This window comes from Homo sapiens, chromosome 3 (assembly GCF_000001405.40).
Source record: "Homo sapiens chromosome 3, GRCh38.p14 Primary Assembly".
Classification (NCBI taxonomy): domain Eukaryota; kingdom Metazoa; phylum Chordata; class Mammalia; order Primates; family Hominidae; genus Homo; species Homo sapiens.
In genome coordinates this window covers 156514114-156529747 of record NC_000003.12, presented here as the reverse complement: position 1 = coordinate 156529747, position 15634 = coordinate 156514114, and the positions used below count along the sequence as shown (strand labels likewise).

General features: G+C 38.9%; 1 protein-coding gene across 10 annotated transcripts in view; it reads right to left on the bottom strand.

Moving 5' to 3' along the window:
• Positions 1-15634, bottom strand: part of KCNAB1 (potassium voltage-gated channel subfamily A regulatory beta subunit 1) — a 420928-nt gene that overhangs the window by 9391 nt on the left and 395903 nt on the right. For all 10 annotated transcript variants that reach the window (XM_017007171.3, NM_001308217.1, NM_172160.3 and 7 more), the window contains 4 exons: positions 15299-15384; positions 14528-14648; positions 13384-13478; positions 5801-5921 (listed from right to left, as the gene is read on the bottom strand). In XM_017007171.3, coding sequence (XP_016862660.1) covers positions 5801-5921; positions 13384-13478; positions 14528-14648; positions 15299-15384 — 423 coding nt within the window. The remainder of the gene's footprint in view (positions 1-5800; positions 5922-13383; positions 13479-14527; positions 14649-15298; positions 15385-15634) is intronic.

Here is a 15634-nt window from a genome sequence, read left to right as displayed (position 1 = left end):
CCTGTTCTGACCCCCTTTTCCCTTTTAACTGCTAAGTCCAGTTGATTATTCCTCCTAAATATTCCTCTAATCAAGTGGTTTTCAAACTTTGGTATGCATCAGAATCATCCAGAGGGCCTGTGAAACACCCATTGTTATGGCTCACCCGCTGAGTTTCTGATTCAGGTCTGGGGTGCAGTCTGTGCATTTTTAACACACTCCTAGGTAATGCTTATGCTGATGCTGCTATCTGGGACCATGCTCTTTTTTTTTTTTTAACCAACTTTATTGAGGTAAAATTTATACATCAAAAATTTTACCCATTTTAGGTGTACATTAAATAATTTTTATAAATTTACCAACCATCATTTTTAAGGTGCAACCTTCACCATTTTTAATGCAGTTTTATAACATTTCCATCACCCTAATAAGATCCCTACCTCAAGTACCAGGCAGCCACTGATCTACTTTTTGTCTCCAGATTTGTCTTTTCTGGACATTTCATCTAAATGGAATCATACAATAGGTGGTCGTTTGTGTCTGGTTTTCACTTAGCATATGTTTTCTAGGTTTTTCCGTGTTGCACTATGTACCCGTATACCATTTCTTTTTGTTGCTAAAGAGTATTCCATTGTGTGGATACAGGGCTCAGTTTGACAATGACTGCTTTGGTTCAGCTGTCTTCTCCGGTTCAGCTGTCTTCTCCTCCTCAGTCACTGCTGCCCTCACTCAGGCCCTCACCATCTCTCTCCTGGATAACTGGTTTTCCTACCTCTTGCTTGAATTGTCCCCTTATATTTCCCCCATACAGCTCTCATCCAGCCAGCAGCAGTCTCTCTAAACACAAATCTGATCATATCACTTCCCTAGCTAGTGCCTGACATAACTCATTGTCCTGTAAGATGAGGTTCTTAATTCTTACCTTGGCAAACCTTATTTTCTAGCCTACCTCTGCAGCTTCATGGCTCCCTACCTTGAACTTTGTGCTTCAGGAGCACTCACCTGTCTTTAAATCCTCTCCATCTCCAAGCATCTTGCTGCTTTTCTCCTCTTCCTCTCCCTTCATTCTGGGGCACATTGCTCAAGCTGTTCCTTTTGCCTGGAATGTCCTTTTGCCTTCCCCTTTCTTTTTGCCTCACTAATATTTGCCTGTCATTTGAGATTCCCCAAAGGTATTGCCTGCTCCTAAAGTACTTCCCTGAATTCCAAGCTCCTACTCTAATTCCCTTATCCCCTGTTCCCTTCTTAATATGATGACCTGTATTAAAATTATCTGTTTATTTTCTTGACTTGCCCACCAGGCTGTGAGGTATGCCTTATTTGCAGTTGGATGCTCAGCCACCAGCCCAGTGTCTTGCACAAAGTAGGAACTTATTAAATGTTTGTTGAATAAACATAGGCATGGATGATTGATGGATGTCCCCAAGCACATCTTCTGCCCCCATTTGGACAGCCATATTGTCAACTGATACTCTTAAGCTGTTACCGTGTCCAGGCCTTTTATGGTAATCACTGAATTTCCACATGGGCAAAATACAAAATAGTGCTGTATAAAAGTACCAATCCAATCTTTCTCTCTCTTTTTTTTTTTTTTGACTGCATTATTTGCTGCTTTGCACTGAGAACTATTTTTGGCCTTAAAGGTAGTTCTGAGGACAAAGCAGGTTCTAGGTAAATTATTGCCCATAAACTACCTGACTACTCGAGGTCACCAACAGCTGATTCCCCTAATGGGCCTGTAGGGCACAGGAGAACCCACTGGGCAGAGCTGGTTACTTCCATGGTAGCAACTGCAGCTGATTCTGGATAATTAGCACCTCTAACCAAGTGTCACTAGCAAGTATGTCCAGAGTGCCTGTTCACTAAGAACAAAGTATGAATGCTGGCTCCAGTATACCTGTGTGACTTGGGGAGCAGGCACACAGTTGGGTTCAAGTAGTTTGCTTTCTGCCGGAGGATCCCTCTCCCACACTCTCCTAGCAGATCAAAGATAACGTGCCTGGAAATAATTTCCCTTTTGATTCTGAGAGTTTTGTGGCTATAAACAAAATTATTTATTTACAAAGAAAGAAGTGACAGGTGAGAAAGACATCTGAGAGGACAGGAGGAAAAGGGGAAAAAAAGCATGTTTTAATTTAAACTCAGATCCTGTAAAGAAGGCATTTCATGTATATCTAATATCTAGTAAGAGTCTAAATCTTGTAAAGATTTCCTCTGTAGAAAGAGAGTGTTCTTTCCTGTCTTTCAGGGCTAAGTTTAATACTTCATGTTACTATCTAAAAACCATATATGATTGTGCAGAATATGTTTCTCTGCATATTACTCTGATTGCTTGCCATGGCTAAGAGCAGACAGAATTTCAAGTTTTGCATGTCTACTCTCTGCAAGAACATTATCATCTTTATTAGCACTCACTGAGCACCTACTTTTTGCTTTATATATATAATTTCCCTTTACTCAACTAGTTTGTAAGATATGTATTATTATACCCATTTTACAGATGAGAAAATTGTTACCAGGTTAAGTAACTTGCCTGTGGTCAAATAGCTAATATGTTTTACTGTGCTTGTTAAAGCTGTAGAGTTGCTAAGTAATAACATTAAATACATTGTTTGATTTTATTTTATTTTTTGAAGAAAGGATTAAAGCACCAGTCATACATATACTACGGTACATGGCATTTTCCCCCCTCTAAAATCACCTCCCATTTCTATCTTTCTATGACTGCTAATTGCAACTAACATTTCTCTGCCTTCCAACCTCTGAAGAGTCAAGCTACCAACAAATATTCTATTAAATTATTTTATTTGCATAGACCTTATCTTGAGCTTTTTATCTCATTGGGTTAGTGTTTCTGATATGTCCCAATTCCTGCTATTTCTTAATCTTTAGGATTTTTTTTTTTTTGTCTAGAATCAGCACCCATTTTATTCCTTTCTCATAGCTACCACATGAATTCTTTTATCTCATTTCTTCATTTATAAGTGGAGATAGTAATAGAAAATCCTCCACTAGCATCGGTAAGATATGACTAGTAATAGTATAGACCTCCGCGGATTGTTATGGTGATGAAGGAGACAAGACAGTGAGAGTGAGCCTGAGGTGCTTACTATAGAACCTGACAAATATCCCCTAGTAAGGGAACCAGAAGTCTCAGGGCTTTTCTGCCCAGTGTGTAGCCTTTGGCAGCACGTGGCTATTGAGCATGCAACGTGTGTCTAGCCTGAATTGGAATGTGCTTGCTCTAGGTGTAAAATATATGCTGGATTTTGAAGATTTGTAGAAAACAAAGTAAAATATCTCAATTTTTAATATTTATTACATGTTGGAATGATAATATTTTGGCTATATTGGGTTAAAGAAAATCCATTATTAAAATTAATTTCACATGTTTCACTTTAATGTTTTAATGTGGTCACTAGAAAATTTAAAATAAGATACAGTTATGCATCCCATAGCGACAGGGACACGTTCTGAGAAATGCATTGTTAGGCGTTTTCCTCATTGTGTGAACATCATAGGGTACTTATGCAAACCTAGTTGGTATAGCCTACTGCACATCTAGGCTATATGGGATAGCCTATTGCTCCTAGGTTCCAAATCTGTACAGCATGTTACTGTACTGAATACTATAGGCGGCTGTAACACATGGTGTTGTGTATCTAAACATAGAAAAGGTATGGTAAAAATATGGTATAAAATGGTATACCTGTGTAGGGCACTTACCATGACTGGAGCTTGCAGGACTGGGAGGTGCTTTGGGTGAGTCAGTGAGTGAGTGGTGAGTGAATGTGAAGGCCTGGGACATTCTTGTACACTACCATAGACTTTGTAAACACTGTGCACTTAGGCTACACTAAATTTATTTTTAAGATTTTTCTTTCTTCAATAATAAATTAACATTAGCTAACTGTAACATTTTTACTTTATAAACTTTTAATTTAAAAAAGCTTTTGGTTGGGCACAGTGGCTCATGCCTGTAATCCCAGCACTTTAGGCGGCCAAGGCAGGCGGATCACGAGGTCAGGAGTTAGAGACCAGCCTGACCAACATGGTGAAACCCCTTCGCTACTAAAAATACAAAAATTAGCCAGGCTTGGTGGTGCACACCTGTAATCCCAGCTACTCAGGAGGCTGAGGCAGGAGAATCGCTTGAACCTGGGAGACGGAGGTTGCAGTGAGCCGAGATCGCGCCACTGCACTCCAGCCTGGGCGACAGAGCGAGACTGCGTCTCAAAACAAAAAACAAACAAACAAAAAAACCTTTGAACTTATTTGTAATAACATAGCTTAAAACACAAACACATTGTACAGCTGTACAAAAGTATTTTCTTTATATTGTTATAAGCTTTTTTTCTATTTTTAAAAAGTGTTTTTTTAGCTTTTTAAACTTTTTTTTTTTTGTTAAAAACTAAGACACAGACACACTCATTAGCCTTGGCCTACACAGGGTCAGGACCATCACTATGTTCCACCTCCACATCTTGTTCCTCTGGGAAGTCTTCAGGGGCAGTAAAACACATGGAGCTGTCATCTCCTGTGATAATAATTCCTCTTTGGGGAATACCTCCTGAAGGGCCTGCATAAGGCTGTTTTACAGTTAACTTTTTTTTTTTCCTAGTAAGAAGGAGTAACACTCTAAAGTAAAGATGAAAAGTATAGTATAGTAAATACATAAACCAGTAACATGGTCATTTATTATCATTATCAAGTATTATGTACTGTACATGATTGTGTGTGCTAGACTTTTATATTACTGGCAGTGCAGTAGGCTTGTTTATTATACCAGCATCACCACAAACACACAAGTAATTCATTGCACTCGGACCTTAGGATAACCACAACATCACTAGGCAATAGCAATTTTTCAGCTCCATTATAATCTTATGGGATCACCTACATATATGTTGTCCGTCGTTGACTGAGACACCCATGATTGAATGTGGTTCATATTATCTTTCTCTCAAACAGTGGATGTGGTTTGGGGTTTTCTTTTTTTTTTTTTTTTTTTTTTTTTTTTTTGAGATGGAGTCTTGCTCTGTCACGCAGGCTGGAGTGCAGTGACGCAATCTGGGCTTACTGCAAGCTCCGCCACTCGGGTTCACGCCATTCTCCTGCCTCAGCCTCCCAAGTAGCTGGGACTACAGGCACCCACCACCACGCCCGGCTAATTTTTGGTGTTTTTAGTAGAGACGGGGTTTCACTGTGTTAGCCAGGATGGTCTCGATCTCCTGACCTCATGATCCGCCCACCTTGGCCTCCCAAAGTGCTGGGATTACAGGCATGAGCCACCGTGCCCAGCCGCGTGTGGTTTTCAATTGTTACCAGCAATCATGACCTTTCATGGACTCCACAGCATTAGAAGAACAACGTTTATGGCCTTCAAGAACTTTCAGGGTGAAGCTATTTCTCTAGGATCAGCTTTTCATGTGGCAGTAGCCTTGGGCCTGTCACAGCCCTGTATCTCATCTTCTCACCAACCCTGGTTTAGTTTTCAACAGACAGAAATTTGAGCCAGAAGAAATGGATGTCACTACACAGTTCACCCCTGACATCTGTGATAGTGTATGTTATCACTGACATGTTCTCATTTAAACTATGTTATAAGAGCAAGGAGAAAGAAGTAAGAAAAATTTGCTATCATGTAGAAAATTCTGGGGAACCTCAAATAACTCACTTTATATTTAGCAGGAGTTTATGCTTCAGAGATCATCTGTCCCTGCAATAGACATTTTATCATGGTAAGGGTGTGGTCAGCAATAGAAAACTATGATCTCAGCAGAAGTCCCTCTACCACCCCATAGCTTAGTAATTTTCTTACCAACAGCTAGCTGAGGTAGTGTGCATCCCAGACGCTCCGCAATTGGGGAAAGGTCTTTTAGCTTGTTTTGCTGTTTTCTCCCTTCTTCACTTACAATTCTTTCTTTCAACCACTGGTAGCACTGGGGAAAAGCATAACATTGAAATGTTAATGTCTGGTAAAGATCTGATGTCAAAGAATGGTAATTCAATAAAATATGTGAACCTCATAATGATTTTCTGAATTTTTTGACCCTTATGTTTCACACTGACAGGGATGATTTCATGCAAAGAAATGTTCCTCACGATCTTGCTCCTTGTTTATTGGTTCAAAACAGATTGATTTTGACTAATATTCACCATTCAAATTGATCAGCCTGCACAGAAGTTGTTATAACCCTGACCGTGACATACAAGCACTTAAATCCTAGCCTGTCCAATAGAAGAAGTAACGTTTTTTATTGGGATAGCCCAACTTTAGAATGTAGCAAAAAAAAAAGTACATTTACAACTTACCAAGATCTATTATGTCTCCTTTTTATTAAGAAAGCTGGGTGCCAAGCTTTCTGCTCAAAGAAAACCACTATTTTACATTTTTGTTTAACTATTTTTCTCCCCCGTGCTTTCAATTCACTGCTAATCTCTTATTCTTTTTATAATGGGGCTTTGTTGTTAGCTTCTGCAGCTTCTTCCTAGAAGCAGACATGGCATAACTGATAGGTACTGAGTTGGTTTTTAAAATTTTAAAGTAGATAAAGACTTTGCAAATGTTATTACCTATTGTATAACTATTGAAACTTAAAAAAGTAAAGAAACTCAAAACAGGAAACTATTCTTTAAAGCCAATGAGAAGAAACTGACCCTGATCTATAGACTACAAAATGAACCTAATTTCCTAAATATAAAGATAAAAATCTTTTAGAACTTCTCAATGCCTTAGTTTCCAGAAGGCTCTGCTCTTACTATGAGAAAGGGAACAATAGACTCTTCTACATAAAGCGAGCACTTAAGCAGCAACACCCAGGGGAAAAGAGTATTTGTAAGAGTGTTAGTCTGTTTTAGGGAAAACAATTAAAAATCATCACACTGTGTGGTAATGTGGACTTTCTCTCTTGCGTGTAATTGTGACATAATACATAATAGCCATCGCAGATCTTTATCTTCCCAGAGACCGCAGAATGCTCTGCAACAGGCAGTGGGCCATGGACACTGCACCCACATGATTTCAATAGGCTGCTGGCTTTTGTTTTTTGAGCATTTTTTCATTATTCTAAGACAATATTTCCAAAGAAAAGGGTAACCACATTATGTTTTATTGTGATTTTTTTGAGTTATTTTGCCGATGAGAAAAGGAGAAGGGCAAGCCGCCCCAGTTTTGTCTCCTAAATCTCAAAGGCTTATGGGCTGGCTCCTAACCTGGTAGCCTGCTTGAGGAGATGGCTAAAGTTTTCCCAGCCTTAGCTCTGAGAAGCCTCAGCTTCTTCAAAAAGAAGAGTGGCCTGGAGCATCTCTCCAGAGATGACATTTGGTGCCAGTGGTGATGAGGTGGGCATTGTGAACAATGGACACTGCCTTGGGGCCGGGGCAGACTTCCTGGGCCAGAGTGCTGTCTATGTCAGAGAGTCCCTGAACTTACTTTTGGTGTCCTCAGTGGGAAAAACATCACCAATCCTCACTAAAGTTTCATAACATCTTTCAGAGGACCAATATCTCTGAATGTTATTCAAACCGACTAACAAAGATTGAAAACTAATAGCCAACTGCTTTTTGAACAATTGCTTCTTATTAGTATTAGAATTTCTGAGTTTCAGTATATACCATGCATGTAAAGAGTGGTTGGTTTATCAATCAATCTTTTGTAACTTTTCCGTTTTTGAAATCTTGTATGCAGTGCATTCTCTTTCTTAGGATTGGGTTACAAGTTCTATTTATGTGTGTGTGTATATGTGTATGTGTGTGACACACACATACACACCATTTTCAGAGACAGACTTCCAAAAGTAAAAAAAAAATTAAAAAGAAAAAAGCAATTATTTATTGAGTCCCAATCCATGTTCAACACCATAAATCTCATTGTTGCTTTAACCTATGGAAATACAAGCAGATTAGGGTTTTTAAAAAGTAGATGCATAGTTTTTATACTGCTTTCCTCATACCAAAGGAAACAAAAGTGTGTTGGAAATAAACAGCTTTAACTGCTTTACAAATGAGAAAATGTTAGCAGAGATAGGAGATGAGGCTTAATTAAAATGTTAATTAAATATGGAAGCAAACAAGTGTGTTTTGTAGGAAGGTTGGAGGTGGGTGTGGTTGTGGCAGTAATAAACCCTGCTTGCTGACTGGACAGTAATCTATGAATCAAAAGGTGAAATCTCCTCATCCAACCCTATTCTATCACCCCACTGCACTGCAATGATTTGATTACATGTTGGTTTTTCTAAACCTAGCAGATAGAAGCCAGGGATGGCTTGTTGTTCATGTCAGCATCTCCAGTTCTGACACTTATGGCTGGCAAGGAGGAGGGGCTCAACCAATATGGTGGTCAGGGAGGAGGCAGAGAAACCAGAGTTCCGTGGAGTCAAAATAAATCTCTTCCCGTTTTTCAGATTGATCATGACACCTCCTCCCCAATGCAGTGTGACTCTGCCAGCAGTCCTGTGGGACTCCACAGGGCTTGTGGCTTCCATATTATTTCATAATTCACCCCTTCATATGTCTGTCCCTATTACAAGTCCCGGAGCTACTCCTTGAGGGTTGAGACTGTCCCATTCATCCCTGTGTCCTCAGCACCCAGCACAAAGTCTGGGTATACTCATTAAATATTTGTCAAAGGGACAATTGAATGAGCTTTGCTCTACAGATTAGTTGGCTATTAGTTTTATGTATGTTACAAAACTCTAAATTTTCCTAAAGCCTATTTCTTTGCCCTCTCCCAATGCTATGATGATTTTATATGTCCCTATTTCATAGGTATTGATATTGGGGTAAGAATAGTCTGTGAGACTTGCCCCAGATCCCTAATTAGTTGTTAGTTAATCTTGGATTGAACTCAGGCTGAAACTGGAGCCATGGACAGAATCAGTCACATTTCAGTTCTGAACACTGTCTAGAATAATTTAACAACCAAGATCGTTGACTATTTTACTTAAACTTCAAAGTCTTTGACTCAAAACAAAAACAAAGTCACTAATGAGGTTGAGATCTCTAGGTAAAATGCTAGAGCCGAAAACTTGCCTTCTGAAATTTTACCATAATGTACAATATGCTTAGTTTCTTAATATGAACACTTGATGTACTTGGACCACCCCTCTCTCCCAACTTTGATTCATCGAGGTGTGCATGCTTCTTATTTTTCTTTGACAGAGGGGTACATAATTTTGTAATATTTTTTCGAGACAGGGTCTCATTGTATTGCTCAGGCTGGAGGGAAGTGGCATGACCTCAGCTCACTGCAGCCTTGACCTCCCAGGCTCAGGTGATCCTCCCACCTCAGCCTCCTGAGTATTTGGGACTACAGGTGAGCATGATACCTGGCTAATTTTTTGTATTTTTGTAGAGATGGGGTTTCGTCATTTTGCCCAGGCTGGTCTCAAACTCCTGGGCTCAAGCGATCTGCCCACCTCCACCTCCCAAAGTGCTAGGATTACAGATATGAGCCACCACACCTGGCCTATAATTTTTCTAGAAAGCATTTTGCCATCAACAGGGAGGAGCTGCCAATAAATTTTATTGCACTATTTATTTCTATTTAGAAGCTATACACCTGGTCTCTTGATCAGACTTTATTGATTTTGTTATGGCTCATCAAATTAATTTAACAAAGACTTATGTACCTCTTACGTACTCATCAGGCTCTGTGATGAGTCAGATGAGCAGGTTTCAGTTTGTGTCCTAGATGTATTCACAAATCATTACCTAGTAACATGGGAAGTGTTTTTTTGTTGGGGTTCCACTCCTGTCAATGATTTCCTTACAAGCTATGTCTTTACTGCCTTCTAATGGAAAATGCCATGACAAGATGGTGCACAACCTGAGCTGATCACAGTACCTTACCCTTTTGGCCACTGTCATTGGTCTCACAGGGTGGCACATGACCTAAGCTTGTCCAGTCATCTCTGGACTGAAGTTGGTAAAGAAAAGATTGCTTTTATCTTAGGTTACATGCCTTTAGAAATGCAAGCCTGCAACCACCAGTTTTCCTGCTCCTGGCCTCATTTATAGTAGAAGAAAATGACACCCACATGTAGAGAGAAATAGAGAAGATGGAAAGTCATGACAATGTACAAGTCCATGGATGCAGTCATTGCTGAGGCCACTCCGTACTTCTCAAGGATTGTCTTTGTGAACCAATAGAGTCCCCATTCTCTGATCAGATTTTGTTACTCGCAACCAGAGAATTAGAAGACCCTGTAAGAAGTGTTCGTGGAATAATAGAGAAGGTACAAATAGCTCAGTTTTGTAAAGTTATGACAGTCTTCATAGAGAGGAAGACAACCAAGCTTTGTCTTTAGCAATAAGAAGGGATTCCACAGGAGAATGAAAAGAAGGACATTTCTGGGAGGCAAAGGAGAGTACAGTGCATTTGCATGGAAAATGAAGTAGTATGATATGGGAGACACAAATGAAAAAAAATAGGCTCAACTTAGATCCCAAGGGAATTTCCTTGAATGCTTTATGACAAAGTTATGGCTTTGTCCTATAAGCAATGATTGGGAAATCATTAGAGGATTTTAAGCAGGGTTATGATATGGTCAGATTAATATTTTAAAAAGATTAAGTAGTCACAATGGTGGGTTGTTGAGAAAAGGGGAGGAAATCAGAGTCCAGATGGGAGGCTACTACAGTAAATCTTGTAAGAAATGGTGAAGATCCAAACAAGGGCTGTGCACAAGATGGATCTTAGAGTCAAGATAGAGTCTGGAGGATTTGGTGCCTTGTTGAACAGGAATAAGGAAGGAAAGGAGGCAGTCTGAGGTAATGCTTTGGCTTCTGACTGAGACAACCAGATGGATGGGTGGAGGCACTGTTAAGCAAGAAGGAATGGCAGGTTCTGGGGGTGAGGATAGATTCCATTAGGCATGACTGATGCCCATGGGACTTCTACTTGGAGATGTCTAATAGACACAAAGAAGGAGTGCTGTGCAGTTCAGCAGTGAAGTCAGAGCTGATAACACAAATTTAGAAATCATTGTTAGAGTAGTGGGGCCAGAGGAGGGGGCCCAGAAAATCCAGAAAAAGAGTGTTACTTTCTAAAAGAGCCCTAGATAGGTATTTTTTATGCTGAGTTAATTTATCCTTCAATTGCAGTTCAGTACTACAACAGATGCAAAATATTAACATCTTAATCTTATCAGTATAACAATAGCCAATGTGAAACACAAACTATTTACTTATTCTCTTTTAGGGTGGGATGAACGTTACCAATTTATTTATCTACTTGCCCAGATATCTATCTTTTAATTTAATTAACCTTCCTTCCTTCCTTCTTTCTTTTCTTTTCTTTTCTTTCTCTTTCTCTTTCATGGCATCCTCATTCACTCCAAAGGTTGCTCTGATACTTGCCTCCTTTACTTTTTATTTTTTTGCTCTGGTAACGATACTCAAGTGGCTTTCATAAGTGCACATATATTACTCCGAAAACACTCAGATTGATAATGTAGAGCCTTGAGAGTCTGCAGAGCTCTAAAGAAGCATACTTTGTGATCAGCCACCTTTCATCTGTTGAGAGCTCTTAATGTTTATTGTTAAGGATGTTCCAGTAGATACAGAGTTGACTTTATAAAAGTCACCAATAGAAATATTTCCCAAGCTGCTTTTGGGCTTAGCCACCTTCAAACATTCATTACTCTTTCTTTTTTTCTTTTTCCTTTCACTAGTGAATTTGTGAAAGATTTTTCAGCTGTTTGCAAGCTTTTCTCAAACAGTGATGGAGGTTAGACAATCATGCACTCCAAATACATCATAGCTACTTCTTCCTCCTTTAAAAACCTGGGTTTAAAGAGAAATAAAGATGTCTTTGAGGGAGGCAATTAACTTGAGAGCCAGGAGACCTGGGTTCTAATATCAGCCTTTTCTGTTACGAGTTTATGGTCTTGGATTGTTATTTAAGGTCTTCGTGTTTTAGTTCCTGCATCTGAAAATGGTCTGCCTCTCAGCAGGTTATTGTGAGAACAAACACTCTGCATATATAGAAATGCTTTGAATTTTTCAGCAAGCCTCTGAAAGAACATATGACAACATGCTTAGCTCAACTGACTAAAAGTCACCTGTATCCATTCTGTTTGTGAGAATAAAAGTTGATGAATGAAAACACTTAGCTCAGTGCTTGGCACATAGTAGGTACTTAGTAAAATTGTAATTCTCAGTGCTTCCCTTCTTCCTTTCCTTCCTTCTTCACTCCCTTCTTGCCTTCCTCTTTTTATACCTTCTTTCCTAAGATGCTTTTAGTCTGTCTTTGCTGACTTGTTTAGACTTGTTTCAGAACAATCTTTAATTTTCAGAAGCAAGACCTTATTTAATATTCTAGGAAAATTGTTTTTTGTAATAATACAAAACTAGAAATAGGACCATGTCATCAGGCTTTAGGACGTATTCATGTTGTATTATTTTAGAGAACAAACAAGCAAAAGCTCAACTGTTACACAGAGAAAGGAAAGTCAAAGGCCTAGAGCCTTGAAAATGTTCTGATTAGGGAAGCTCACAGTGGCCACAGCCACAATGATTAAAGGATTGGTGGTTCAGACTTGACTTGAGCTGTTTTCCCAATAATTTAGTGCTGATGGAGGCAAGAAGTTGTGTCAGGCTTATACTTCCTCTTAGAAGGACTCCGGTTTATCTGATTTTTTAAATGCCTGTATTCTCTCTCCCTTGACAATAGAGAGTAATTTGTGATTCTAATGTTATTACACATTCTCTCAAGTTTTTAAAAACAGGCATGTTGTTATTAATAAGGAGAGATTTTTGAGTACTCTCCAATAAATTAGTCATCAAGATGTCCTGAATGGAGGTAATTTTGTGTCAATGATCTTGAATATCTTTTTGCTTCAGAGCAGAATTTAAGCTGCTTTAAGTGATAGAAGCTTTGCTATGTATCTGTCTCCTGAAGTCTTCCCTTCTAACCCACTGCCCCCAACACACAATAAAAAGTGTCAACCATACTCAGCTACAACTTTTGGCCTCATATGGATTAAGCCTTTATGGCTTACACTTTGTTTGTCAAGAAAAGGAAATAATGTAAGAATCCTCTTATATAGAAAAGAGATTTTGCATTTTATCAGTTTCAAATGATGGAATGTTTTCTTTAATATAAGAATAAAAAACAATGTAGGAATTTGAGCCCTGCAAGTCCAATCAGGTCACTGGGCACTTTTTTCCTAGTCCCCAGAAGAAGAGAATATTCAACGCAGTCAGATTATGAAGGACTGACTGATACCTGGCCAGGAGCCAAGACCTCCAGAAGGCTTAGGGGAACCTGCCAGAGGCCACTGGCCTGGACAACACAGTCAGCCTGAGCTGGGAAGCCCTAGGCTGCTGCAGAGCTGTTCTTACCAACCTTCTTCCCTCCTTCCTACTCCCAGGCTTTTTTCTAGACATTGAGAAAAATACCTTCAGTGAAGCCCTGGAACTTTCAGGCACCCCGTTTCCGTATTTTCCTGAGATGATTCCACAGGCAAGTGGAGACCATGTCATTGCGCCAACACCTACAGAAGAAAAAACTTAGAAAGTTGCTTGTGCAAATTGGGATCAAAAGGTGGGTGGCGGTGGGGGCAGTAGTGTTTAAACAGAATTTGGTAGGTTATAGGGAAAAGCTGGCCAGATAAATGAGTTAATATCAGCATGCATTTTTTTCCATTACAATTTAGGAGCTTACAAATTGTGTTTCATTCTTTAATCAGCCAATTAAACATGGACTGTCAGTTCTTGGGAGTGCATATCAGAAAGCCTGAAAAATGTGGCTCATCCACGAAGTTTTGTTGTCCTTGTCCATTTAGTACCTAACATAGTGCCTGGTACACAGCAGGAGCACACACCTGGTACATAGTAAACACTCAATAAGTGAGAGCAATAATAACAATTATTACGGTTGTTATTGAAGTTTTATCTTTTTCTCCTTTTCCCAGAATTTTCCTGCTCATATGAACTTCTGTTTCTTAGGAAGAAAGTTATTTCTGGAAACTTTTGATAAATAAGCCTGAAAATGTGGCTTGTTCATCTTTTCCTAATGTCTAAATTTCTTGGGTATATTATATATAGATATATTTCCCCTGTCTCTGAAGGCATTAGTTCTATCTGCACAAATGTATAGTACCCGACTTAATAGTTGTTGAATTTCCCATTTCTAACTCAGTGCCAGGGCCAGGGTAGTGGATACAGATGTATATATCCATGATTTTTTTTGAAAGGTAGTCATTGTTTACTCGAGCAAGCACCAATGAAAAATGAACTTATTCATTGGTTGTTCCTTTTATTCAGTATGCATTTTTTTTTTGAACACCTGCTGAGTACAGCTGAAATACCAGTCACAATTTACAACTCTGCTTGGCTTTCATCAGTGATACCCTGTAGACTAAATGCAGATTCTGCTACATTTTGATTCTGCTACAATCTCTGGAATGCATGGTTCTTACAATGTCTATGTTAATTAGGGACATTTAGGAAAGCATTTCAATAACACTGTTTTTATTTTTTCCCCGAATCAGTGATCTTTCTCTTGTTAAAAATACTCAGTAGCTTTTATTTTGAAGATTACCTATTTTGTGGTAGAGCTCTGGCAGCTGGACCTCCACTTTCTCTCTCTGGAAAAGATGGTACTCAGCTTGTTCACAGACCGGTGGGATCATATTGAACTGTCTTGCTACAGAATAGGCTTCCTAGGGAGGAATGAGATTACAACCAAATTTATACTGATGAGAAATAAGGCTTCGCTGTAATTTGTATGCATGAGAAATGTTTACTTTGGTGAAATCAGTACAAACCAAGAAACATGTAGGATGCCAAATAATAAGCAAATTTGTCACCACCGATTTCACTAAGAGCAATATGAAAGGTAGGAAACCCTTATTAATTCTTTGGGAGGGTTTGGATTGAGTTAAGTCCAGAGCAAATTAGTCAAGGTGTGAATTGTACACTACGATAAAGAAAATGTAGTTTAACTATTTTTAAGTTCCTAAAGAAATAAGACTTAGACTAACATATAAAAGTATCTGTAATTAGCTTGGTATAAACAGTATAGTTAATACAGTTTTTTATAAGAAAACTAGAATACTCTGTTAATATATCTCATTAGCTGTGAAATTCACTTTACCCTCTTGCCACCAAAGAACACTGTATTCTCTGTTGTATTCTGAACGGATGAGCTCCGGCTCCAATATCCATCTCTGTAATGATGGAATTGATTCTAGAATTCCAGTGCCATAGTGATTGTGAGAAAAGTTTGCAAAAGATCTTGCAATTTATGCATGGCATCTGAAAAGCAATAATAAGGTACTCAATAGCCATTTAAAAATAGAAGTTAAATTACCATGATCTCCATAGCACTCCATCTCGAGGTGCCCCAGTACATCGCCATGCCTTGGTTTATCACATGTGTCATGGCTCGGACAATTTCTGTGGAAGGTCAAACAGACAGCATTTCATGAATTTGTCTACTTTTCAAAGTTATGCGATTTTTACTCCTCTAGCCAAAGCTTAGAAGCTTAATGCAATTGTTTGTTTGATTAATAAAATTAGCCTAATATTGGTGACAACATTATAGTCTGACAGGAAATATTGATGGTTTGAAGGCTGATGGTACCTTTGGGCAAACTGACATTCCATTTTCCATTTGCAGCAACAACACTAAATGATATTGAAAATA